This window comes from Homo sapiens, chromosome 11 (assembly GCF_000001405.40).
Source record: "Homo sapiens chromosome 11, GRCh38.p14 Primary Assembly".
Classification (NCBI taxonomy): domain Eukaryota; kingdom Metazoa; phylum Chordata; class Mammalia; order Primates; family Hominidae; genus Homo; species Homo sapiens.
In genome coordinates, this window is record NC_000011.10 from 12,774,251 (window position 1) to 12,800,901 (window position 26,651).

Sequence of the window (26,651 nt, forward strand, 5' to 3'; positions counted from 1 at the left end):
ATGTGAATGTGGGCGATGGACATGGGAGATGAGGAAGCAAGGCACTGTGAAGCTCATCCACAGTGACTTGATTAATCACTTAGATGCTGAACTTCACAGTGGTAAAGTGTGCATTTTTAAAGAAGGTACCGAAGTAAACCAGGTGCTGAGGGATTTCTTTGAGGAGTACATGGCCCCATGGATATGCATGGAAAGATGTTGATAGAGTGTAAGTGGTGTCTAAAAGCAGAGAGCAGAACAGTGGGACAGGAGGTATATCAAGGTCAGAAGAAAATGCCAACATTTCTACCTTCCTCTTCCCAAATTCTTCAGTTGGTCCAAAACTATACCTGTTTGTGATGTATAGTTATAGTTACATGGGCCAGCCATACAAGCTCTTTGAGCCTTGTTGCCATCACCAGTAGAATGGGGCTGGTAAGTCAGCATGTTTCTTTCTACCTCTCAGCAATGTTGAGAGAAAATGTAATTATGTATGAAGAAGTTCTTTGAATTCTTAAAATTAATGGTTTAATTAATTTAAACAGAAAACCAAATATCGCATGTTCTCACTTGTAAGAGAGAGCTAAATAAGGAGAACACATGGACACCGACACATAGATGAGAGCAATAGACACGGGGCCTGATGGAGGGTAGGAGGAGGGAGAGGATTGGGAAAAATAACGAATGGGTACCAGGCTTAATACCTGGGCAACAAAATAATCTGTACAACAAACTCCCATCACACGACTTTACCCATATAACAAACCTGCACATGTACCCCTGAACTTAAAAGTCAAAAAAAAGGAAGTTATATCATATTTTAAAAAAGTAATGCTTTTAGAAGTTAAGCCTGTTCAGGACTTGTTGGAAAAGTAGGAAAGAACACTATGGAACCATCAAACAGAGTTAAGCATCCCTAGTTCAGTTAGAGGGCTGTGTGGTTAAGGGAGAAATTGAGCTGAGCCCTCCTTTCTTAGGGTTTCTGTCAAAGAACAGGGGGACGGGGAGCTCCAGGGCAGACTTTTAGAGATCAGAGCCACAAATGATGGAAGGGACTGTTGCTGGGCAGAGGTTCATCAGGCCTCCCTCACAGTGGCCCTCCGCAGCATCAGAGGGAAGTAGAGAGTGGGTGGACATTTGTGTTCTTAGCAGCACAGGCCTGGATTCAACGATGTTTCTCTGTTCTCATCCCCACCGGACCCCCACCTCTAGAGCTTCAGTTCCTCACTCATCTGCTGCTGTGGCCTTCCATTTTACGTGAAAGCGTGTCTCTGATTTATTATTGTTGTTATGTATTTTATCCCGTTCCAGTGATAGTATGTGTTTAAAGTGGTCTTTTTAAAATAAATGATCATTATTGATGGTAGTGTTCTGTTGGTCTCTCACTAAAGGTGCTATTTTAGAGACTGTTCAACTTGATAAATCTAAATATAGAAGTGTGTTCGTTGGGAGGATCCTAGAAAAAAATCTGGAGGAATTTACAGTCTACTAATAGTGGTTGCCACAGGGAGATGGGATTATAGGAGACTCGGTTTCTATTATGTTTCTGTATTAATGGGATTTTTTCAATCGCAAACATATGTTACTTTTGGAATCAGAAGAAAAAAGATAATTGTGTCAAGTTTATTTTTTCCTCTGGTTCTGAGTAAAGGATATTCATTAAAGAAAAATGTGGAAAATAGCAAGAGTTAGAAAGCAAACCATATTGCCTGGGTCCACTGTGGTGTGGTGTTTACTGGCGGCGGGGGGTTCACCCGGGGAAGTTACGGCAGGGTCACAGTGGGCAGGGAGGGGTGCAGGGGTGTTTGGAGAGCATCTCTCCCTTCCACTTGTGGGTGGCTGAGGTATCAAGCTCAGGGGACAGGTGGTCAGAGAGTGGCAGTGCTAGGGCGGGGGAGGAGAACAGGGCATTCTTATTATAGGTTTTAGGACATTGGTCCGGGACTTCAACAGGTGCCCTGGCCACTTGAGTGTGTCAGTCAGCTGGCCCAGCTCAGAGACGCATAATTCCAACATTCATGTATTATGGTAAGATGGTGATGGGAGAGAGAAAGGAAGACGTCCACATCCATTCCTTGAATGTGCATAGGCTCACACCGCAAATAGAATGAACGGGATCCACATCTCTGCTGAGTATTTTTCGTTCAGCTTGTACATGAGAGTAGACGTGGTTTATTCCTAGAGGGTTGGGGGCTTCTCTCTGCCAGTAATGTTTTTGATGGCCATGTTATCCTTTGTAATAGATTCCTGGCAAGTAATCTTGTATTTGTGCTGCCTTTGGACAGAGGTGGGTAGATTTTAGAGAACAAAAACACTGGGTACTTTACAGTGTGCTACAGATTCTCATTTAATTATAATTTTTAATTATAATAAAATAAACTTGCAATCCGAATGTGTTTGATCGGCTTGATAGTGACCTGCTATGCATACCCTGCAGATAATTCTGTCTGCCTACCTTCCCTTTCCTCATGTTTCAGTTCTAGCTAAATAATAAAATCAAATTTGTTCTTCAAAGCCCATTTGGATATTTATTATTATTATTATTATTATTATTATTATTATTATTATTATCATTATTATTATTTTTGAGATGGAGTTTTGCTTTTGTTGCCCAGGCTGGAGTGCAATGGCACCATCTCACTGCAACCTCCACCTCCCGGGTTCAAGTGATTCTCCTGCCTCAGCCTCCGCAGTGGCTGGGATTACAGGCATGCACCACCATGCTCGGCTAATTTTGTATTTTAGTAGAGATGGGGTTTCACTGTGTTGGCCAGGCTGGTCTCTAACTCCCGACCTCAGGTGATCCTCCTGCCTTGGACTCCCAAAGTGCTAGGATTACAGGCGTGAACCACCGCACCCAGCCTTATTTTTTTTTAAAGTTTGTTCTTGTGTCAATGTACTCTCCTCTCCCTCTTAGCCTTTTAGAACACAGTCTTAAAGGTGTGATAGCGAAACCTGCTGCCCAGGATGTTTAATTTGTTTAAAAAATTTTTTCTTTATTGCATTGTAGTCCCCCCGCCTTTGGGGGAAATATTTGTCACCCCAAAGTTTTACAGCTTCTGGGGTAATATTTAACATATGTTAATAAGCTGAGTTTTTTTGGCCATTTACAAAGGTCCCAATTGCTCACTGTATGCCTACCCTCTTCCCTGGGTCTGCCTCTGTGCTCTGTGACTTGCCCGATATTTTGTTGAGACGGGCTTTGGCAACTGTCTCTTAGATGAATGGTTCTATTACAAACACAGTAGCTTCCATGACCGCTTAGAAGAGATTGTTGTTTATGACAGCTTTTATTGAGAGAGGTTTGGTGCATGATAATGTCCTGATAAGGACATTTGTACCTATAAAGTAGCCACAGCCTTAAACATATTTGATTGTCAGTAAAATATTGGGGATGATGACATGCCAGATGTGAGGTATCGGATTGCATGTTTATTCAACTGTTACTGCAATCTCTGTACTAAGATGTGCCCTTGTATTTTCTGTCTCACAGCAACACACAAAATGCAATGGTGATATGATCCTGATTATGAAAGATGCTATTTAGGTTACTTGGATTGTAAACCATGTGTATTAGGAAGCATTCTCTCAGTCCCCATATGTCCTTAGACAGCAACCACAAACAGTTGTTAGGTGAAGGGAATTGTCAAGTGGGTTGAACATACGCATTGTGATAGGGACCTTTTGAAATGTATGAATCTTAGTAAGGCCTGGACTGACCAGGGCAGGTGATGTGACAGTCAAAATAATAATAATGAATATTTGTTCTTGCAATGAATTTTTGCAATAATGAATATTTATGCTTGCAATGTGCCAGGTACTGTTCTGAACACTTAGCATTAACCCATTTAAACCTTCTAACAAGTCTTATGAATAGCTACTATTATCTTACATTACAGATGAGGAAACCATGGCCTAGAGAGGTTTAGTAAGTTGCCCTGGGTCAGATTCTCATTTGATTGTAATCGTTGATTATATTTAATCATGAAAGTAGTGGTTAAGAGCTCAGGCTCTGGGGTTCCTATCCTGGCTCCAGTCCTGGATGTTCTTACTGCTGCCTGGCTAGGGTGGAAGAGAGTTTTGGTTCCAGGTAAACAATAGAAAAGAAAGAATGGGCTTTCCTGGTGTCTGGGATACCGTTCATCCTGTTTTTTGCTTTGTAAACTCCTACTGGTCGTTAAAAAACACTCCATCCTCTCTGAAGCCTTCCTTAATCTCCACAGGCAGAGCTAATTTTTCCCTCTCTTATGTTTCCAAAGCACATGACTTTTAACTGTCCATTAAAGGCCTCATCAGACTCTTTTTTTTTTTTTTTTTTTTTAAACTGTAGTAAGCACTGTCAGGCTCTGTTTCTGTGGGTCTGTACCCACTGAGAACTCTTCAAGGGCCAGTGCTGCTCAGCCTCCAGTATGGTCCCTGGCACACATTAGGCCCCCAAAAAATGTTTGAATTAGTGAAAGTTGTTGGTAATAAAATTCCATCTTGTGCCTCTCAAGAGTTTTCTTTCCTACATTCTTGGCATTTTTATGACATTTACAACATTTTAATGAAACAACAAGGGCAAGAATTTTGATTTCATAAATAAGAAACTGAAGCACAGAGACCAGGATGTTTTCTGTTAGATTGTTTTATCTTGAGAAACCACCTGGTGAAACAAAACTTAGGAGAATTAAGTCATTTGCAAGACCCCACTCCCCTGTTTACACTTTTCCATCATAACCATATTGATCTTACACCTGAGATGTTGTGAACTAGAGTAATTTGTTCACAGTAGTAAAGCATAATCCTAGAAAAGTTAGTCTTTGACCATTTCTTTTCCCTGGTGTATACTGGACATAATATGTTTGTAAGCTTATTTGAGATGTTTCTAAGTGGTAGGGGTGTGTGTGTGTGTAAATGTTACTTTTTTCAGATCGACTGTGGGTTTAGTTTTAGTTGTCTGAAAATCACTTCCACCACTGATTATTCTAAGATGACATTGTTGATCTTGAATGATACAGTTACCGGGAGCAATGAACTAAGTAAACTCTCACTGTAGAGTTCAGAAGGGTGTTGAGTTAGGGTGAGTTTCCAGGATACAAAATCTGGTTAGCTCATTGGCTGATTTATAAGGGGCTTATTAGCCTATGGGAGTAAGTTCTTCATTGGTGGTGGTAAAGGGCACAGGGTTGGGAATAAGGGTTGTTGGGGTTTAAATCCTGGCTTTGCCACTTCACTGGCTGTGTAACCATGACTAATATTGCTAAACCTCCATATCCTCATCTGGTCAATGGGACCAATATTGGCACCCCATCTCACAACTTCAGTGTGAAGATTAAATTAGATAATACATTAAAATACTTAGAATACCCAGTTCATTCTTTGAGAGCACTATTACCCTGACAGCTAAATCAGACAAAGATATCATGAGAAAATAACTAATATCCCTTATGAATATAGATATAAAACTCCTCCACAAAATATGAACCCATTCAGCAACATATAAAAAGGTTAATATACAGTGACCAAGTGGGATTTATCCCAGGAATGCAAGGTCAGTTTAACATCTGAAAATCAATTAACGTAACACACCATATCAATAGAGTGAAGAAAAAACCACATTTTTATCTCAACAGATACAGAAAAAGGATTTCACAAAATCCTTCATGATGTAAATAATCAGCAAACTAGGATTAGAAGAGAGCCTCTCACCTGCTAAAGGGCATCTGTGAAAAATCTAAGCAAATGTATGTAATAGTAAAAGACTGAATGCTTTCCTTCTAAGATCAGGAGCGAGACAAGGATGTCTGCTTTTACTCCTTCCCTTCAATATTATACTGGAGTAAGAGCAATTGTACAAGGAAATGAAATAAAAATTACTCAGATTGGGAAGGGAGAAGTCAAACTATACTGTCTCTATTTGATCTTGTATGTAGCTAAAAAAGTAAAACAACACTATTAAAGTTCATAAACAATTGTAGCAAGGTTTCTGGATACAAGATAAATACATAAAAATATAAAACTCAATTGTAAATTTTTTTTTTTTTTTTTTGAGATGGAGTTTCGCTCTTGTCACCTAGGCTGGACTGCAGTGGTGCGATCTTGGCTCACTACAACCTCCGCCTCCCAGGTTCAAGCGATTCTCCTGGCTCAGCCTCCCGAGTAACTGGGATTACAGGTGCCTGCCACCATACCCAGCTAAGTTTTGTATTTTTAGTAGAGACATGGTTTCACCACATTGGCCAGGCTGGTCTCGAACTCCTGACCTCAGGTGATGCGCCTGCCTCGGTCTCCCAAAGTGCCAGGATTACAGGTGTGAGCCACTGTGCCTGCCACTCGATTGTATTTCTGTACTTAACAGCAAACAACCTGAAAATGAAATAAAGCAATTTTATTCATCATAGTGTGAAAAAGAACAACATACACAGGAATAAATGTGACAAAAGAGCAAAAAACATTTACCTCCAAAACTACAAAATATTGTTTAAATAAATTAAATAACCGAATAAATTGGAAGACATTCTGTGTTCATGGGTTGGAAGACTTAACATTGCTAAGACAGCAGTACCTACAAATTGATCTACAGATTCAGTGAAATCCTTATCAGAATCCCAGGATCCCATGACTTCTTTGACAAGTTGATTCTAAAATTTATATGGAAATTCAAGACCCAGAATAGCCAAAACAATCTTGAAAAAGAAGAACAAAGTTGGAGGACTCACACTTTGTGATTTCAAAACTTACTACAGAGCTACAGTCTGAATCAAGACAGTGTGGTACTGGGATAAATTAGACATATCATCAATGGAGTAGAATCACAAGTCCAGAAATAAACCCTTATATTTATTGTCAATTGATTTTCAACAGATATACCAAGACAATTCAATAGGAAATAATAGACTTTTCAACAAATGATGCTGAGACATGCGAAGAGTGAAGTCGGATCCCTTCCTCACATATCATATATCATAATTAACTAGAAAATGATCATAGATGTAAAAGCTATGATTATGAAACTCCAGAAGGAAATACAGGAATGAGTCTTTCTGACTTTGGATTAGGCAAAGCCTTAGATGTGACAACAAAAGTATAAGTGGTAAAGTAAAAATAGAGAAAATTCATGAAAATTAAAAAACTTTCCTGCTTCAAAGGATATCATCAAGAAAATGAAAAGGCAATCCAGAGAACAGGAGAAGATATTTTCAAATCATAAATCTAGTAAGCAACTTGTATCTAGAATATATAAAGGACTTTTGCCATTAATAAAAAGATAACTATCCAGTTAAAGAATGGACAGAGGATCTGACTGGACCTTTCCTTAAAAAAGACATACGTTGAAAAACACACCAAAGATGCTCAAAACCATTAGCTAGCAGGGAAATGCAAATTAAAACTACACTGCGATATCACTTTATATCTCTTAGGATGGCTATCATTAAAAAAAAAAAAACAGACAATAACAAGTGTTAGGGAGGATGTAGAGAAATGGGAACCCTCACAGGTCACTGGTGGGTTTATAAAGATGGCATAACCACTCTGGAAACAGTCTGGAAGTTCTTTAAAAGACTCACCATAGAGTTATTATAGGACCCAAAAGAAATGAAAACAGATGTCCATACAAACACTTGTACATTAGGGGTAGGTGTGTTGGCTCCCAGCACTTTGAGAGGCCTAGGTGGGCAGATCGTGTGAGTCTAGGAGTTAGAATCCAGCCTGGGCAACATGGTGAAACCTCGTCTGTACAAAAAAAAAAAAAAAAAAAAGAAAGAAAAAAAGAAAAAGAAAAAAAAAATTAGCCAAGCGTGGTAGTGCACACCTGTAGCCCCTGCTACTCAGCTGGCTGAGGTGGGAGGATCACCTGAGCCTGGGAGGTGGAGGTTGCAGTGAGCAGAGATCTCCCCACGGCACTCCAGCCTGTCTCAAAAAACAAAACAAACTTGTACATGGATATTTATAGCAGCATTATTTCTAATAATCAGAAAGTGGAAACAACCCAAATGTTTATCAGCTGATGACTGCGTAAATAAAATGTGGTAATAGCTATACAATGGAATATTATTTGGCAATAAAAAGGAATGAAGTCTTAATATGTACCACAATATGGATGACACTTGAAAACTGTGCTAAATGAAAAGAAGATTCATGAAAGACCACATATTGTACGATTCCATTTATACATGGAATCATATGAATCATACGAAATGCCCGGAATAGGTCAGTCTACAGAAGCAGGAAGCAGATTAGTGGTTACCTGAGACTGGAGGATTTGAGAGAAAATAGGGAGTAACTGCAAATGGGTATGGAGTTCTTTCTGGGGTGATTAAGATGTTCTAAAACTAGTTACGGTAATGCTTACACAACTCTGTGAATGTAGTAAAAACTTGAATTGTACACTTAAAATGGGTGAGCTGTATGAAATATGAATTATATCACAATAAAGGTAGTATCAGTGTATATGCTCAGCATCATGCTTGGCCTTGATAAATTGGTAAATGTTAGCTACCAATGTAATAGTAACTCTCTGACTTCATGTGCAGAGCACGTTTATAGTAGCAAAGATGGAAAGAAAGGAAAATGCTGAGAGAGTAGATGAACATACAAGTTAACTCAGATACCAGGTGAGGGAGAAGGTGACTGAATCTGTGGCAGCCGTATGGTAGGAGCTGAGTGCTGCTTTTGGAGAAGGTGAATGAAGTTATGTGGTGCAAGAGCCTGATACCCTAAAAGTGTCTAGTAAACCTGAATGTAGTTACCCTTAAAATGTGGTTGAACTTGGGTCTGGGGATCCAGATGTCACTAAACAGTATCTTCTTCACAAAAGAGTAATCACCGTCAGTGTGATAAAAGCCAGAGTTTTTGTGTCTAGAAGTCACTAAACCAGGTAAGGGTTTGTGTGTGTGTGTGTGTGTGTGTGTGTGTGTGTGTGCGCGCACTTTCTTTTTAAATCACTGTATGACAAAGGCCAGAGTTTTAGTTTTTGTGCCTTTTTTTTTTTTTTTTTTTTAAGGCAGTGTCTGGGGGAACTTATCTTCCCACAGTCAGCCCATGGCTGACCAGCTTTGATTTTTGCAGGGTGTCTTTGGGCCTGAATGTTTGAGCCTCCCTACAGGAGATGGCTAGAGCCTAGCCCTCATGCTCTGGAAGTTAGTTCTGGTAAAAGCTTTGCAGTTGGCGCTGTGGATGCCCTGTGCTACTTAACAGTGGTTCCTCCTTTAGAACTTGGAAGACACGTGCCAATAGGGAGGAAGGTTCTCTGCTAAGATGCATTTATTTGTGAACACCTCTCACAGTGTTTTTTTCAAGGATATACCTGTGGAGGGAATTTCCCATTTCAGTTTTGGGGGAAACCTGGTGAGTTGCTTCTCAGATGTTTAGGTCACACACTGACACTCAAGGTCGAATGGCTACTGCGTGGTGGAGCTGTGATTCCAAGAAACCTTCCATGTCTGATTGCTAAGACAGCTCACAGTCTTAACCACTAGGCTGAATTTTCCCTCAGGGATGGACAAAGTGGAAGAGAGAGAAAGCTGAAGGCAGAGAGATGTGAAAATACAGTGTTTTCAGGAGTAGTAAGGAGGCTGGTAAGCATGTGGGATGTCTAGAAGGGTGGATGGAGTGTGGGGTGGCTTGTAAGCTGAGAGGTTACGGGAGTGAAGTGCCAGGCAAGGATGTTCGAACAGTAAGATTAGAGGTTCTCAACTTTTCTGTGTATGCAGCATATACACAGGAAGGGGGGATGGGAGCCCTTGTTTTTAGGATATTCAACAAGTGTTTGAGGAGAATTATTCTGGAGGCTCTATCTCCCATAAGGAGGCTGACACTACAACACTTCTGGTAGGAGATGAGGAGGGCTTGAACTAGGTCAGAGGTTATGGGAGTGACAAGGAGGGGATGGATGGGAAGGACATTTTACATCAGTATATTAGAGATTAGGCATTTAGATTAGGTGTATTAGAGATGAGAGGGCTCTGTAGGGTTTTCTGATGAGGGAGAAGATGAAGATTTTTCATCTGCATGGATGGCAGTGCCATTTATAGACACAGTTGTACAGCAGGGGAGACAAGTTGTAAGGGCCAGAGTTGGGGTAATGAGTTTTGAGTTGTATGGAGTTTGCAGTGCTTTGGGGCACTTCATGGGGAGGGCGCCAGCAGGCACTGGGCAATTCAGCATTCTGGATTTGAGAACAGTTTGGAAAACATCATCACAGGGTTTGGAGTTGAGACCCTGGAAGTGGATAAGCTTGTCTAGGAGACAGAGGGAAAGGACAGAAAGGAAGAAAGGCTAGGATAGAATCCATTGGAAGCATTAAGAGTCATTGTCTTGAGTAAGCATCTTCCATGTCATATGAAACCTTACAGATGCAGGAGCAGGGGAGTCTGAATTCACGTATGTTTACTAAGTGTGCTGAAGTATTTGTCTCCTGGTGGTGTGTTGATGGAAGCAGATGATTTTCTTGCAAGTTCCAGGGGTGCTGATGTCTTGGCATGTTCCTTTCTGTGGCCCCCTAGGGTGAGTTAATGGGTCAGCCCAGGATCCTAGTTCCTCCTTCCCTTTCCTTAAGTCAAAGCTGGCCTACGCTCCATGTGTGATCTCCTTCTTCCCAGCCTCCCTGGGAGTGTTGCTGAGCTCCGTTTGGAGTTTCAGTTGCAAGGCTTTAGCCACCCATGTTAACTGTAGCTCCTATCGCTTGAGAAGTGCAGGGTGAGGGGATCCTGGAGAATCAGCTCCCTTTTGAAATCTGCTCCAGCTTGCTCTCTTGGGGTCAGCATGAGTGTGGAGAAGACTGGAGAAAACCCAGAGATGGTAGGCATGACCTGCCAGATGCAGCAAGCCCTGCCCTCTCTCTGTGTCAGATCAAAGACTGACTCTTCAGTCATTTGACACCCTAATGTGAGGATGTTTCTGAGCCAGGGCCCGGGCTCCTGGTGGCCTGTGCCTGGGAGCCGTGGGGAACGTGTGGGCCTGCATGTGCTCTGGGTAAGTGGGGGTAGGAGAGTAGGACAAGTAACTTCCCAGCTGCTCTCTTAGACACAGAGCTGGAGGGATCTGGAGAGATCAGCCCAGCCTCCTCAGTTTTCAGATTGGAAGCTGCTGCCCAGAGATGCCCTTTTCCCGGTTCCAGTTCTGAGGGCGAGTTGGCCCAGCTTGGTTGCAGCTGCTCCTGCATGGCTCTTTCCTCCTGTCCCACAGGTCCTGGGTTCCAGGGCACAGAGGTTGTTCCCAGTTTGGCTGGTGCCTATAATGACCATATCATTTAATGTTCAGACTACGACACTTCAGAGAATAAATGGGGGCAATGTTAACAATGACACCAGGAAAACAGAAATAAACCTTAGGCAAACCAGGATATATAATCTTCCTTCCTGTGCCTTCACTTTTGGCTCAATTCTTATTCCTATGCCAGGTGATATTCCCTCATCCCCTACCGTCCTGGTCCTATGGCCCACATGACTTTAGGTTCCGGGAACTTACAGATCTTGGTCTTTGGAGGTTTGGTCTGTGGATCTTGGTATCTAGAGGTTAGAAACCTCAGGGATCTCCCATGTTGGAGGGTCCAGGAGATGGAAAACCTGGGAATAACATCGTGAGCATATCTCTGACAATCCATGACTATTCAGAACCTAGATCCAGGAACTTTGATTTTCAGTAGCTAGGGTGGGTATGTCATAATTTACTAACTTAGTTTTTTTTTCCAACATACATTTGTCTCTTGCACGTAGCGTAAGATGGCATGCTGGTAACATACAAATCACGAGAGCAGCATCCTACTCTGCAAACCTGTAGCCCCAGATAGAGCTCAGCAACTCAGCCATGCAATCTTCTGCCTTGGAGGTGGAGGGGAGCCAAGGCCCTGGGCTCCTGACAGGTGTGTGACGGAGCAGGGCATAGTTACTTGTCTCCCAGGTGTCCACAGTCACAGCACAGGGTGGGAGGGGACATGAGCAGCTGGGCTTTGCTGAGACCAAGCCAAATGGGGATTTAGGCAGAGAAGGTGTTCTTTATTTGAGAGTAGAGCAGGTGGAGATGAATGCTCTGCCTGGTAGCTTTCTCGGACTGCACTGGCTTGTTTTTCTATCTAAAGCTGGCAGAACCCAGACCACCATGGATCCTCAATGACAAAGGCCAGAGGAGAGGAAATGGTTCTTCACTGGGTCTTCTGGCTGTGTCCTTGGACCTCTGCCTCTCCCAGCTGACCAGAGTGGTCTGGATTTGCCCATTCTCTCACTGGAGTTAGGAGTAGGATTGCCGGACCTGGCAAATAGAAGTACGGGAGGCCCAGTTAAATTGGAATTGCAGATAAACAAAAAGTTATTTTTTAGTATGAGTATATCCCATGCCGTGGTTATATTTTATATAGCAACTCTACTTAGTAAGGACTGGCCTGATTTTGCTTACCTCTGGGGCATGGTTTCACAGTGCCTCTTTCATTCAGTAGATGCTTATTGAGTGCCAAGGATATGTCAGATGCCACTCTAGGCACTGGGGATATTGCAGTGAGCAACAACAGACAAGAGTTGGTGAACTCATGGAGCTTACATTCTAGTGGGGGCGATAGACAATAAGGAAGATATGTAAGTATGTTAGGTGGTGGAAGTGATAAAGAGGAAAATAAAGCAGGGAAGGAAGATAGGGAGGATTCAAACCTGAAGAAGATGAGGGATTGAGGGGATAAGCCAGACAGACATTTGCAGAAGAGTCTTCTAGGCAGAGAGCACCACAGACATCAAAGCTCGGGCATGCCTCATGTGTTTGAGGACTGGTGGGCCTCCGTGGCTTGAGTGGAGTCAGCAGGGAAGAGGATCCAGCATGGAGGTCAGAGCTCAGATCTTGCAAAGCCTCATAGCCCTCTGTAAGGATATGGGCTTTCACTCTGAGCGGGAGTGTGATCTGATTAGGTTTTGAAAGGATCACCGGCTGCTGGGTAGTGAAAGACTGAAAGCAAGCCTGGGCCCAGGTCTCTCACCGTATCCTCAGGGGTGGGCCATGGGATTTGAGACCTGCATGCCATTTGGAATAAAAGGGCATGCCACCTGGACACAGCATCACCTTGCAGGATCTTTGATTTCTTTTTGCCTTTTTCTTCCTCATTTAAGGGATACATTCCTACTCAAAAAAGGGAAGGATATGTTGCAGTTATCTACCTCTTTTTTGCTAACCATTGTATGATGCGCCTGGTTTAAGGGACAGTTCCCTAATGGTTCCTATTAAGCTTTGGAGAAAGAGTAGTGGTGTGGTGGGTGTCACATACCTGGAGCTTTAGAGCCTTCTGAGAAGATAATTCGGTAAAAATACATCATTTTTTGATTGGTGTTGAAGGAAGTTGTTTTTCGTTGCACAGATTAAATTTAAATTGTTCATGAGAGCTAAAGAGCTTGAAAGCATTTCTTTGTTTTCTGATCTTTAAAAGTAGAGAAGAGTGAGCTGGCTATATAATATAGAACTTTCTCGGCTTTACTTTACCAAAGCAGTCTGATTTAAAAACTTAAAGCCAACATATTTCACATTTATAGTTTAAGATTATAAAAACTAAATATGCATTTAATTTCATAAATTTATGTACTTAATTTCATAAAATTATGTTTTTTGGAGAAAAATACTGAGGCTATAAAATCTTGGCTTGTAAGTAAATAAAATTATTTTAAATGTCAGCCAGTTTTGATGATGAGAGCTATAATTCTAATGAGTGGCAAATATTTTCTAGATATCTTTGAAATGATACTCTGGTTTCTCTTCAGACTGTATAAATCTTTCACTTTTTTTTTTTTTTTTTGAGATGGAGTTTTGCTCTTGTCGCTCAGGCTGGAGTGCAATGACTCAGTCTCAGCTCACTGCAACCTCCGCCTCCAGAGTTCGGGTGATTTTCCTGCTTCAGCTTCCTGAGTAGCTGGGACCACCACAGGCACTCGCCACCATGCCCAGCTAATTTTGTCTTTTTTTTTTTTTTTTGGACGGAGTCTCGTTCTGTTACTCAGGCTGGAGTGCAGTGGCGCGACCTTGGCTCACTGCAACCTCCGCCTCCTGGGTTCAAGCAATTCCCCTGTCTCACCCTCTCTAGTAGCTGGGACTACAGAGCTACCGTGCCCAGCCTAATTTTGTATTTTTAGTAGTGACGGGGTTTCACCATGTTGGCCAGGCTGGTCTTGAACTCCTGACCTCAGGTGATCCGCCCGCCTCGGCCTCCCAAAGTGCTAGGATTACAGGCATGAGCCACCGTGCCTGGCCAAATCTTCCACCTTTTACTAAATATCTTTGACAAGCCTTTTGACTTAGTATACTGGTAAATTAGCTTTGGTAATATTATTAACAGATTTGTAAATTTTTGGTATATCCACAAAATTCATTTGAAAAGAAGCAAAAATGAAACCTTTAAAAAAGTATAATGTACACATTCCAAATATGAAAATGTACTACTTCACCAGAGTTGTGAAGCATGTAAGACGTGGTCCATATTTAAGAACAAAGCAGACTTTTTAAAGGGACTGTCTTGTACAACATCACGCCCTTGGGCACTGAGAATATGGAATTACAGGGGTGATCCCTGTAAAAAATACTGAGTAAAATGCAATGTGTGCTAAAATGCATCTATATGTGTATAATTTAAAAGGCAGGCATTTCAGTTTAAAGTTATTTTTAGACTAGAGATTTTAGCTGTTTTCTTAAGCAGGGATTAAAAACCAATTTAACTGGGGGTTTGGGTTTGTTTTGTTTTAAGAGATGGGGTTTAGAGATGGGGCCTGGCTGTGTTGCCCACGCTGGTCTCAAGCCCCTGGCCTCAAGTGATCTTCCTGCCTTGGCCTCCCAAAGTGCTGGGATTATAGACCTGAGCCACTGCACCTGGCCCAAAACTGTCTTAATGTAATTGAGACTCTTACACACATAATAAATTGAGATTTTTGTCATCTCAGTTTGGAATTAACATTGTAAAAGTACATGCACTTGAGGGTTAGATGTAACATTACTACCTCTAGCTGTATGACTTTGATTTTAGTAAGTCTCCTCTGTAAAATGGGGACAATGAAACCTACCCCGAGGACTGGTTGTGCCAGTTAGATGAGGTAACTTGAATTGGTTCCTGAGACAGTACCTGACACATAAGCTCTCAGCACATAGTGACCAGTGTCATTCTTATTGGCATTGCTTTTATTATTTATTTTTATTATTTTTGCTATATTCATAAAATGTATTTGAAAAGCAAAAATGAAATACTTTTTAAGAAAGTACAGTGACTTGAGTGAGACCATACAGTTTATGTTAGCTAATGATTTCCAAGGCCATCCAAGTTCAAGTTTTGAGTGTGCAAGCCAGCATCTTTTGAATACCTTGAGAGAGGGAGCAGACAAGAAAGAGTTTGGCTCAGAGAAGGTAGGCGGTGGGAACCCAGAGTCCTGGTGAGTGTGCCTTTACACCCGACATCTCCCTCCAGATGGCTTTTCAGCCAGGTTGATAATTAGCATCAACAGATGCAAGCCGAGAGTCTCCTGGGCTGCATGTCTCCAGCATGGATATGTATGGAGAGAAGCATGCAGCATGTGGAAGCCCGAGCTCAGTTGGGTTGTACGGCTGGGCTCGGCTGGGCTCAGCTGGGCCTGTGGAGGCATTGCTCCGAGTTGGGCCTGCCTGAGTCTCAGCTGGTACACAGACACTGCCCTACAGCCCAGGACCTGCCCAGGGGGCTCAGCGTAACAGACCCACCTTGGTGGGGGGCTGCTGCTTCCAGCTGCTTTGCAGCTTCTGTCAGGCCAGGGCTGCTTGAGTCCTTGCTCTGCTATTTAAATCTATCACTCGTTGGTGACAGCTTTCTGCTTAAGCAGTGGCAGCATGTATGCTACAGGTTTCAGCTCATTACCTCTGTAGGGCTGTTCCTGGACTGCTGGCTGGGGGAAAGGCCAGCCATACAGACTGAGGCACCAGCCCCAAACTCTGTATTGGATGTTGCTGAGCCTGGGTGGAGAGTGGGGCCGTGCTACCTACAGTGCCTGCTACCTGTCCTTCAGAGGACCTGTCTGCAGCAGGGCCAGAGCCTAAGGTTTTGTTTTCTCCCAGCCTGATGGGACTGTGATACTTGGACATGGACATCAAGGAGATGTGGGCTTTGCCACTCTGCTTAAGTGGGCCTGGGCAAGTCATTTTACCTCTTGGGGTTCATTTTCTCTGTTAATAGGTGGTGAACTTTTCAAGGGTGATTAACATGTCATCTTTATCTCCATATCCCTTGGACACAGTAGGTACTCAGTAAATGATAGCTTAAATTTGTAAAATGGGAATGATAGGACCCTTATCCCTAATTTGTACTGGGCAGAGACAATGAATATAATTCTATTAAACTTTGACAAATGGGAATAAAGTGAAGGAACCCTTGTATTTCCCCAGGTTCATCTCCCATATCCCCAGTATTAAAGAATCTCAGATGAATGGGGACTTAAAAAGTTCATTTGTGTATCTTTATTTACTGATTCAAACTTTTACTACCTTTGCCAGTTGATCTAAATAGACATCTCTGTTTAAGCATCTTCTGTATAAAGAAGGTGTATAAATAGTCAAGAAGCACATGAAAAGATACTTAACATTAGCCATTAGGGAAATGCAAATTAAAACCCCAGTGAGTTACCACTTCATACCCTCAGGTGACTATGGTCAGAAAGACAATAACAAGTGTTGGTGAGGGGGGTGAAAAATGGGAAGACTTATGCATTGCTGATGGTAATGTAAAATGGTGCAGCCTCTTTGGAAAGCAGCCTGGCAGTTCCTCAAAATGTTAAACGTAGAGCAATTCTATTTCTAGGTATTTACCCAAGAGAAATGAAAACATATGTCCACGCAAAGACTTGTATGCACATATTCACATTAGCATTATTTTTATATGTGCATCTGAATGCCCTCATCTCCGTTATGGATTGGATGTTAGGACACCCTATAGAGGAGATTTCCAGGGATAGCTACTCTTGTGTTTGTCTTCTTATATGGGGTTCATGCATAGGAAATGCCAAGCTTTTGGCCTCTCTCATTTATAACTTCCAGATAACAGCCTAAGTTTGGTCTATGTTTAAGGAAATTCAGGAGTCTTTTGCAGGGCTTCTGTAGAAACCTTTATCAAGTAAAAGTATCTGGTGTTTCCCAGGCTTTGCTCTCCTGCATTCCTTGTAGTCAGCAGGGAAGGACCCCTTGTTATGATGTGAGTTACTCTCAACATTTCAGGCTTTTGAAGATTAATTCCTGATCTGAGGGAAGATTCTGGCAGAACTGGGATATCTCTAGAATGCACTGATAAGGGCCTTGTCAGTTTCTGGGGTGGGCAGGTCCTTCTTATAGACGGTTTTGTGACTAAGATACCTGATCAGTAGGCTTTTTTTCCTGGCTGTAACTAGTGATGGGTTGCAGGTGGGTGCGTGTGGGGATGGAACATCTTAGAGTTGTCTACAAAGTTAGGCATCAGAGAGCATGGGTATCATGGAGAGAACTTTTTGATTGAGATTTGGGGCCAATTTAAGTCAGTTCTCTAATATTTTCTTGCATTTGAGTTATAAGCTGTTCCTATAAGTAAGTGATAAGGGAGTAGTGGGAAAATGCATCCTTAATTAATAGGCAGAATAAAGCTAGGTGGCCATAGGAAGGCCATAAAAAGCCCAAGGAAGCAGCCCTATTTATTTGTAGAACATAGGTGAAATGTTTATTATATGCAAAACAAGTTAAACCAAAACATCTAAATGCACCATAGTATATGATTACAGAAACCTGAAAGATCCAGGAGTAACAATAACAAAGGAACAAATGAACTACACATGAACACTAATCTTCCCTGGAACTAAGGATAGGTGGGCACTTAGAAGTGCTTCTGGGATGGGAGGTCAGGCTGCAGGGTGATGGACATTGGGCATGTGCTTGGGACACTCCTTGAGGCACATGGAGACTATTTGAGATCACCTCTCTGATCAGAAAGTTGTTTGGTGAGTACCAAAATAAGACAAAAATGAGTAAGTGTTTTTAAGGGAGATTTCCCTCAAGCTGTGTTTGGTAGATAACTAATAACTCTCTGTTCTGGGATATTTTCTCTCTAGGCCACTGTCATTGACCTCTCAAATGCTTGGGGGTGAGAAGGGTAAAGATAATATAAAAATATCAAGAAAAGGAAAGTAAAGGGAAAATAGTAAAAAAAAAAAAAAAAAAAGTCCTATATAGTCCTATGAAGAAAGTTTTGACCTAGATATAAAAATATAGGCAAGTCTGAAATCTTGTTGCTTTTCTCTTTAGTTTGCCTTCGTTGATATAAGTCTGTTTATTCATGTCTGTATGCTAACCGCTGACACTTAAATGTGAAATTGTTCTCAGGACTCTGCTGCATTGTCCTACTAGTAGAAGTCCTGGTTTTAGAACATAAGGTCTGGATATGTACAGCCTAGCTTTTGGATGAGCAACTCTGTGCAAGTTCCCCAACCTCTGTTCAACTTCAAAATAAGGGCAGTTATACTGAACGCCTGTATGGGTGCTATGAGGATTACATGAGATATATAGTAAAGCTAGCCAAAAAACATTGGTTATGGGCCAGGTCCCAAAATGTTACAAAATGAGCTGGGCATGGTGACTCATACCTGTAATCCCAGTGGTTTGGGCAGCTGAGACAAGAGGATTGTTTGATGCCAAGAGTTTGAGACCAGCCTGGGCAACATAGCAAGACCCCATCTCTACAAAAAATTAAAAAATTAGCCGGGAATGATGGCTCATGACTGTAGTCAGCTACTCAGAGGCTGAGGCAGGAGGATTGCTTGAGCCAGGAGTTTGGGGCTGTAGTATGCCATGCTCACACCTGTATAGCCACCTCATTCCAGCTTGGGCTGTTAGCGAGACCTTGTCTCTTTAAAAAAACAAAACAAAACAAAAAAGATTTTTGCATATCATTGAAAATCTATGAAGTGGTTTTTTTTTTTTAATTTATAAATATACGTTATTCAACCGGTTGCCTATTTTTGAGCAATTAAAGTGGGTTTTCCCTACTACAAGTAACTACAGTGAATGTCCTTGAGTGAGATACATAATTATTTCTTTAGGACCAATTCCAAGAAGTGGAATGGCACAGTTAAAGGATAGATATTTTTTTTAAGAACTATGATAATATTTCCAAATACCAATGTCTGCTCTACTAAAAAAGTAGTGAGAATGGTCATTTCCTCAGTCTGTGATCAGTGCTGGATATTTAGGTTTTTAAATATCTTTGCTATTTTAGAGGTAGAAAATATCTTATAGTTTTTTTGATTTTTATTTCTGGTAACAGCTGAGCTTAAATAATGGTATATTTTATTATGTACTGTGTTTCTTTCATACAATATTGTTTAATTTTGTTCAGTTTTTCCTTTAGAGTATTGTCTGTCTTATTAGTTTGTAGGACATTGACTGTTTTCACTTTTGTTGCAGATACCTCAAGTTTGGCATTCCATTCATTCAAAAAACCCACCGTTTTTAGATAACCCACTGACATGGTGAAGTAAGGACATTGTTAGGAAAAAGGCATGTAGGATGTGGAACATGAATCAAAAGAGAACTATCCTGGATGATCTCTTTGTTGTTAAGCCCAGTGATTGTCTGAGGGAGTGGGATTGGTGGGGATCTCACTGAGTGCTGACTGTCCAGAACTCACTTTCTCATTGTGATCTGACTCCAGTTGTTCAAAAGCCGTTCCTTACTGGGAGAAGTCAGAGCATGGGATATCCCTTGAGAGTATATGTGAAATGCATTACTTTGAAGAATTGGTTTTGGAACACTAAAGTGGATAATGGAAGCAGCTATTTCATTCTTACAGCTCTGGAGTAAAATGGCGATGATCTTTGGTCTACCCCAAAACTGTCTTAAATTTCGCTTGCTTTGGCTAACTCTGATAGGAAATAGCTATGGGAGAGTAGGAAGGGAATGGGGCTTAGAGCCCATAATTCAAACCCTACTACCACTTCTAGGTATGAGCTGTGTAACCCTGCACAGGTTACTTATCTCCGTTTTCTAGATTTTATGCGGTCCATTTGGCATGTCCTAAGCACCCAGTACATGTTCATTAATTATTTTTTCTCTTCTCACCAGGTCTGGTCTATGTCATGTTCATCTCTATCCTCATTAGCGTGATAGTCTCTTTGAGATTATTTGATGACCAAATTAATGGGGCTGGAGTGTAACAGCTTAAGAGCAGGTACATTCTGAAGAGTGAGAATAAACTTTGTCTGTGTATTATTTACTGTTTAAGAAAAAAGAAAAAAACAGCCCTCATGGTGTTGATGGATTTTGGGTAATCAAGGGAGATTTGGAATATCCCTCTCTTTTCGACATGTGACAGCCTGTCTAGGTGAGGGCCAGGGTCACAATGATGGTTCTGATTGTTCCTCTCCAGGAGGGCCCCTGAACTTTGACATCATCTCCTAACGCAGTTCTGCCGGAGGCCTTCCTGTCAGAGCCTCCTGGGCCAGAATGGGCCTCTGTGGCGAGCCGGGCCTGTAACTGTTCCCACTCATAATGAGCAGAGCTGCTCCTGCAACCCGGCAGGAGCACCCGAGTGGGTGTGCATGCACATAATGGGCCCAGCTGCTGTGGCTGCAGCCTGTGAATGCCTTCCAAGAGGCCAGATGCCTGGACACATCTCTCAGCAGCTACTTTTCCTTTAAGGGGGATGATAACTCCCTGGCGCTTATCCCTAGTACCTCTGACAAGGAAAGGAAATCCATCCTGCCCTGAACAGCAGGGTGAGCACCTTCACCTGATTCAGTCTCATGCATCTCAGCAAGGGAGATGCTAGTATCTAATTGTCTTAGTTTCCTAGGGCTGCCATAACACAATAGTGTAAACTAGGTGACCTAAAACAACAGGCATTTATTTTCTCACAGTTCTGGAGGTGAGAAGCTGGAGGTTGAGGGGTTGGCAGGGCCATGTTTTCTCAAGTCTTTAGGGGAGGATGTGTTCTGTGCCTTTCTCTTAAAGGCTACTGTGTTGCCATCAATGCTTGGCTTTCCTTATCTCACAGCTGTTAATTTCAGTCTCTAACTTTGTTGTCTCATGGTATTCTCTCCTAGGGTTGTCGTTGCATTATCTTCTTGTAAGGACAATTGTCATATTGAACTAAGGGATCGCCCTACTCCAGTATGACCTTGACTGATCATATCTTCAATGACACCATCTCTGAATAAGGTCAAATTTGAGGTGTACTGAGGGTTAACACTTCAACAAATCTTTTTGGGGCATGCAATTCAACCCATAACTCTCATGTTGCATACATGGGTGCAGGTTTAAAGAGGATCAGTAATTTGGGTATGGTCACAATTAGGCAGTGTTGGGACCAGGATTGGAACTCAGGCCAGCCTGTCCAAAGCCACTTCTCTTTCTACTAAACTTTGGTGTGTCAGAATCACTTGGAGGGCTGATAAGAAAGACTGGGGCCCAGGCTTTATACCCTTGCTCCTCCACCTGTGGTCCATGGACCAACTGGCAACATCAGCATCACCTGAGAGCTTTTTTTGGAAATGCAGAGTCTCAGGTCCCACCACATACATATTTTTAACAAGATCCCCAGGTGATTTGGGTGTGCAGTCAGTTTGATGAAGCACCTGAATCGGGTATACGCTGCTTCTCAGTCCTGATTGCATATTAGATTGCTTGAGAACAGTAAAAGACAAAACACAAATAACAGTGATGGCAGCCTTACCCCACGCCATTGAATCAGATCTCTGATGAGGCACTGACGTTTATATTTTTTAAAAGCTGCCCAGATTATTCTGATTCACAGTATAAGTTGAGGACCACTGTGGGGCTGGAGGTCCTCATTTCTGGAATATCCAGACTTCAATATTGAGGTTGAGAATTCTTTTTGCACAGGTTCTTCTTTTTATTTCCACAGTAGTGCAGAAACTGGGCCAGGAGGGGGGCTAGTGTACGGAATTTATTTCAGAGAAGGCAGAATATTATATAGCAAAGGAGACCACAGTGCATTTTTTTTCTGACTTTACCTCTTACAGATACTAAGTGTTGGGTAGCAACCTATTTGTCCACCCCAGGAGCTTGGGAGAACATGAAAGGTGGTGTGGAGATAGCATATAGTGGGCAGTCAGTGCTTGTTGAATTAAATTGAATAACAAAAACCATAGGAAATCAGCGTTGTTGGTCTCACTGAAACATATCATTTATAGAGATGCTATTGTGTTACTTTTGGGGTACAAGGAAGAGTTGCAGAAGACTGCACAGATGCTTACGATGTTTAGCAATTCTTAGGCTACGTGGGATGGCTTATGCTTGTAATCCCAGCACTTTGGGAGGCTGAGGCGGGCGGATCACTTGAGTTTAGGAGTTTGAGACCAGCCTGGGCAATGTGGTGAAACCAGTCTCCACAAAAAATACAAAAATTAGCTGGGTGTGATGTCACACACCTGTAGTCTCAGCTACTTGGGAGGCTGAGATGGGAGGATCACCTGAGCCCAAGGAGGTTGAGGCTTCAGTGAGCCATGATCGCACCACTGCACTGCAGCCTGGGCAACAGAGCTAGATCCTGACTCAAAAAAAAAAAAAATTTAGCAATTCTTGTTATATCAATAAACATGGAAGAGTTATTGGAAGTTTTGAGAATAAAGTGGGAGCACCCCTTAATATCTACAGATGTGGCCGGGTGCGGTAGCTCATGCTTGTAATCCCAGCACTTTGGGAGGCCGAGGTGGGCGGATCACGAGGTCAGGAGATCGAGAACATCCTGGCTAACACGGTGAAACCCCATCTCTACTAAAAAATACAAAAAAATTAGCTGGGTGTGGTGGCGGGCACCTGTAATCCCAGCTACTGAGGAGGCTGAGGCAGGAGAATGGCGTGAACCCGGGAGGCGGAGCTTGCAGTGAGCCAAGATTGCGCCACTGCTCTCCAGCCTGGGAAACAGCAAGACTCCATCTCAAAACACAAAAAACCTACAGATGTATTTTCCGTTGTAGGTTTTGTGGTGAGGGGAAGCACTAGTATCCCAGATGGTGACCTCTTAACTTTTAATTCTTCAACATAGACTTGAAGAAGGATGGTGATTGTGTTCAGACCATCTTGCCCTACTGTTCCCTCAAACTCTGTCCCATCAGTCCTTCTCCTCTTAGCTGATCTTTTGGACAATCACAGAATGTGGGGAAGGGGCTCATTTCAGTCTGGGGTCTTGATGTAGCATGCATTTGGTCCTCAGACTAGGGCTTTCACAGACGGTTGGCACCCTATCCAATGACAATTCTAGTGTCCTTTTCTCATTCCTGGACTTCTTGACGTTTGTGCTTTTGTACCCCCTGGTGTGCCACCCACCCCATCCCATCTGAAAATCCTTGGTACAGCCCTTAAGTCTTGGATGTGCATGCTGTCCCTCTCTTTTTTTTTTTTTAAACTAACCTTTCTTCCTCTTCCTGACTCCACTAAGTAGTGGTTATCTTTAAGGTTTTATTTATCCCCTCTTTTTTGTAGGGGTTTCCTCCACTCTGCCAATTTTACTGTCCTATCTGTGCAGAGGATCACCATTTCTCTTCCAAATGGTTGTCCCTTCATCACCAAAACATCCCATACATTGAAAATGGAATTCTCCAACTTCTCTTGTTTTCTGGCTTGCTTTTTTATGTCAGTGTATCCTATCTACTATTTTTCAAAGCCCCTTGTCTTTGAAACCTCCTATTTGATTTACCCTGTAGGGACTGATCAGTCCCTTACTCTTCCATTCTCCTTTGGGACATCTTTTGTATGTTCATTTTTCCTTTGGATAATTCTCATTATCCAAACTCTTAATTGCCTGATACCTGGATGAGTCTCTAGCTATGCTTTCCATCCCTGCAATGGAAATTAAACTTTTTATTAAAGCCGTTTGTGTAACATATCAACTCTACCTGTATTTCCACTTTTATGTTGCAGTACTGCCCTGGTGGCCTCAGCTCCAGCTACACTATTGTTTTTACCTTTCCCATAGTTGCCTCCTGCACACATGCTCTGTGGTTGGCCCCCGTTGCTGACTGCTGATTGGAGATGACGTGTACCCATCCTCTAGACAGTCTGTGCTTTTCCTGTCTTTGGAGCTTCCAGTTCCACCCCCATCAGTTTTTTTCTGACCACTCCATCTTGCCTTATTTCTCTCTCTTTCCTTTTGACTGGAAGAGTACTCATCTTTTCTAACATCTTTTCATAAACTGTTTTGATTTCACTTATATTGATTTTTAACGTATAATGTGCTGGTGTTCTATTTCCTCAGTTAGATCAGAAGGCCCCTAAAGACAGGGCTCCATTGGTGTTAAACTGCCATCTTCAAGGTCTGGGACTTGATTTCTCTTTTTTTACCTCCACAACAAGGCACTCCTCTGCACCCAGTCGGAATTCAGTGCCTGTGGTCAAGTAAATGCATGAAGGAAGTTGGAACCCGTGGTGGGTATGTTTATTTAAATGTGTAAACCAAGAATGCCTTATGGTGTGTATGCCAGAAGTGAAGTTCTCATCTGTAATTACCAATGAAGAAAACACCTTGTATTTACGGTTGAGTTTGGCACCAAATCAGCACTGGTCTTTCCTTCCATGGTACAAATGTTGTAAAACTCTGAATGCTGCGTTTCCATAAAAGGAGCATGCATTTCTGTGGAGGTGGTGATTGATGTTGGATGCCTTTAGGCGGTGCCATCCTACTCATGAGGGAAGCAGTGCTGTTCTAGGCTCAGTCCACGAATTGGTTTGCCTTTTCTCCTTTCCCAACTCTGCCACCTGGAAAACAAAACAAAAGCAACAACAAAACCCCCCCCAGGCATTCTGCCTGCTGGCACCCTGTTAGAATAAAAAGATTAGAACACTTGGTATCTGTTCACTCACTCAGGTGAAGTTTGAGATGTCCTACTGGGCTTTTCTATCTGTAGACCCATGAAAATCTCATTGAAGAGGTGTTGTGGAAACATGAGAAATACATGTTTATCATCATTTGTTTGTTTATTTACCTACCTGTCTACCAAATTAGAAAAGTTCCAGGCGTTTATCTCAGTGTTTTACAAATATTAACTTGTTTAATTTAAATTTCATAACCACCCTGAGAATTGAGTGGTATGTTTTCATTATCCCACTTCACAGATAAGGAATCTGGGCACAGAGCACTGAAGGCGCTTGTTAATAGTCACATGCAATCTTTTTCCTATTTCTTGGCTTCCAGTAATTTTTCAGGTAACTAAATGCCTGTGATTCCCAATTAGGTGTCGAGTTCTATGGCTTTTATTTCTATAAATCATTCTGGTTTCTTTTTATGGTCATGGCTGTACTTGTGTTTCCCTCTGAAATTGGCAGAAGATGAGTGTGTGTGTGTCAGCGTTTTTAACACCCACTAAAAATAAATCTCCTACAGTGCTTTACAGTTTATAATTGCTTTTTCAGATATTATCTTCCTTAGTCCAGCAATGCTGGTAAGAAGAGTTATTATTTATTTCCATTTAACAAATGAAGTAAGTGGCTTAGAGAGGTTAAGAGACTGAACATATCCTTAATGTGATTAGTACCTTGGAATTTGAACCCAAGTCCTCTTAATCCTTTGCTCTTCCAAGCTGTTACGCTGCTTGTAAATTGGGAAACCCTATAGTCTGTTTTTCTTGAAGTTCTTTGTTTTTCTAACCTCCGTCAAAATAATGTAGTGTTTTGCTTTTTTTTAAACTTATATCCCAAGCCTGTATGGTAGAAGATGTGAAAGTAGGGGGGTTGAGAATGCAGTTTTTTTGAAAGAGAGGAGTTTATCAGATGCCACAAGAAATACTTTTTTCTGTTTTTCTTTGATAGCAAAAGAGTAAAAATTTTGCAAGGCTTTTCTTGATATTTTTGGAGTCCAGGGGAATAAGTGCATAATGGTAATAATTAAATACAGTTTCCAGTAAGGGAGTTTTCTCAGGTTTAGCTGCACAGGCTTAGAAAGTTGGGTGAGAGAAGGCTTTGAGGAGAGATTAGAAGTTGGAGAGCCCATCTGTCGTGCCAGTATACAAAAATGTCCGTGGATGATGACTGCTTGCACCTCCAGAGCTAGTCTCCTCTAGGAAAAATCAACAGTCACCAGTGCAGGAGAATGAATGAGTCAGAGCTCTGGGTCCTGAGCCGGTTTTACCTCTTAGCTTTGTGATCTTGCATAAATTATCCAAAGGATCTGGACTGCAGTTTAGTTCAGTGTAGCAAGCTTTGATCAAACAGCTATGTGCCAGGTACTGTGGTAGGTGCTCTGGAGAGAAATACAAATTAGATAAGGCTTCTGCTCTTGGATAGTTCTCATACCAGCTGGGGAGACTGACAGGAAACACAGCGATGGTTCCTGCTGTGTTAGAGATACGTTCAGAGGGCTGATAAGGGAGGGGGACGCAAAGCATATCAATCAGGGAATTCTACTAAGGTGCTGATTCAAGGTCAGCTTCCCTCCTCCTGACCGCTGTACTTAGCACAGCACGTAGAGGGGACTGTAGGGAATGCAATGAAAGTGAATGGTGACAAAAAAATGAAAAAGAGCCTCAAGGCAGGAGCCATGGTTTTCTCCTCTGGGGTGGGAATTTTCTTCAATCTGGGAATACTGTGGTGGGGCCTCTCATCTTCCTTTCCTCCCTTCTCTGCCCCCAAGCACCATGTCTTTTTCCTAGCACAAGGCTAGTCTCATAGATTTCTAAGAGTCCTATATAGCTGTCTTTATCTTAGGCACTAGCCTAAGTACCCCTTGTGAATGGGGT

At 42.1% G+C, this 26,651-nt stretch overlaps 1 protein-coding gene across 1 annotated transcript in view, besides 3 other annotated features; it reads left to right on the forward strand.

The window, feature by feature from the left end:
• Positions 1 to 26,651, forward strand: part of TEAD1 (TEA domain transcription factor 1) — a 270,317-nt gene that overhangs the window by 99,830 nt on the left and 143,836 nt on the right. The window lies entirely within an intron of this gene.
• Positions 13,428 to 13,935: an enhancer, noted in NCBI's record as "H3K27ac-H3K4me1 hESC enhancer chr11:12809225-12809732 (GRCh37/hg19 assembly coordinates)". NCBI's record gives its function as "activates a minimal SCP1, AML or CMV promoter by ChIP-STARR-seq in naive H9 embryonic stem cells {active_cell/tissue: H9 hESC(naive)}" and the evidence as "EXISTENCE:reporter gene assay evidence [ECO:0000049][PMID:30033119]".
• Positions 13,936 to 14,443: an enhancer, noted in NCBI's record as "H3K27ac-H3K4me1 hESC enhancer chr11:12809733-12810240 (GRCh37/hg19 assembly coordinates)". NCBI's record gives its function as "activates a minimal SCP1, AML or CMV promoter by ChIP-STARR-seq in naive H9 embryonic stem cells {active_cell/tissue: H9 hESC(naive)}" and the evidence as "EXISTENCE:reporter gene assay evidence [ECO:0000049][PMID:30033119]".
• Positions 15,077 to 15,715: an enhancer, noted in NCBI's record as "H3K27ac-H3K4me1 hESC enhancer chr11:12810874-12811512 (GRCh37/hg19 assembly coordinates)". NCBI's record gives its function as "activates a minimal SCP1, AML or CMV promoter by ChIP-STARR-seq in naive H9 embryonic stem cells {active_cell/tissue: H9 hESC(naive)}" and the evidence as "EXISTENCE:reporter gene assay evidence [ECO:0000049][PMID:30033119]".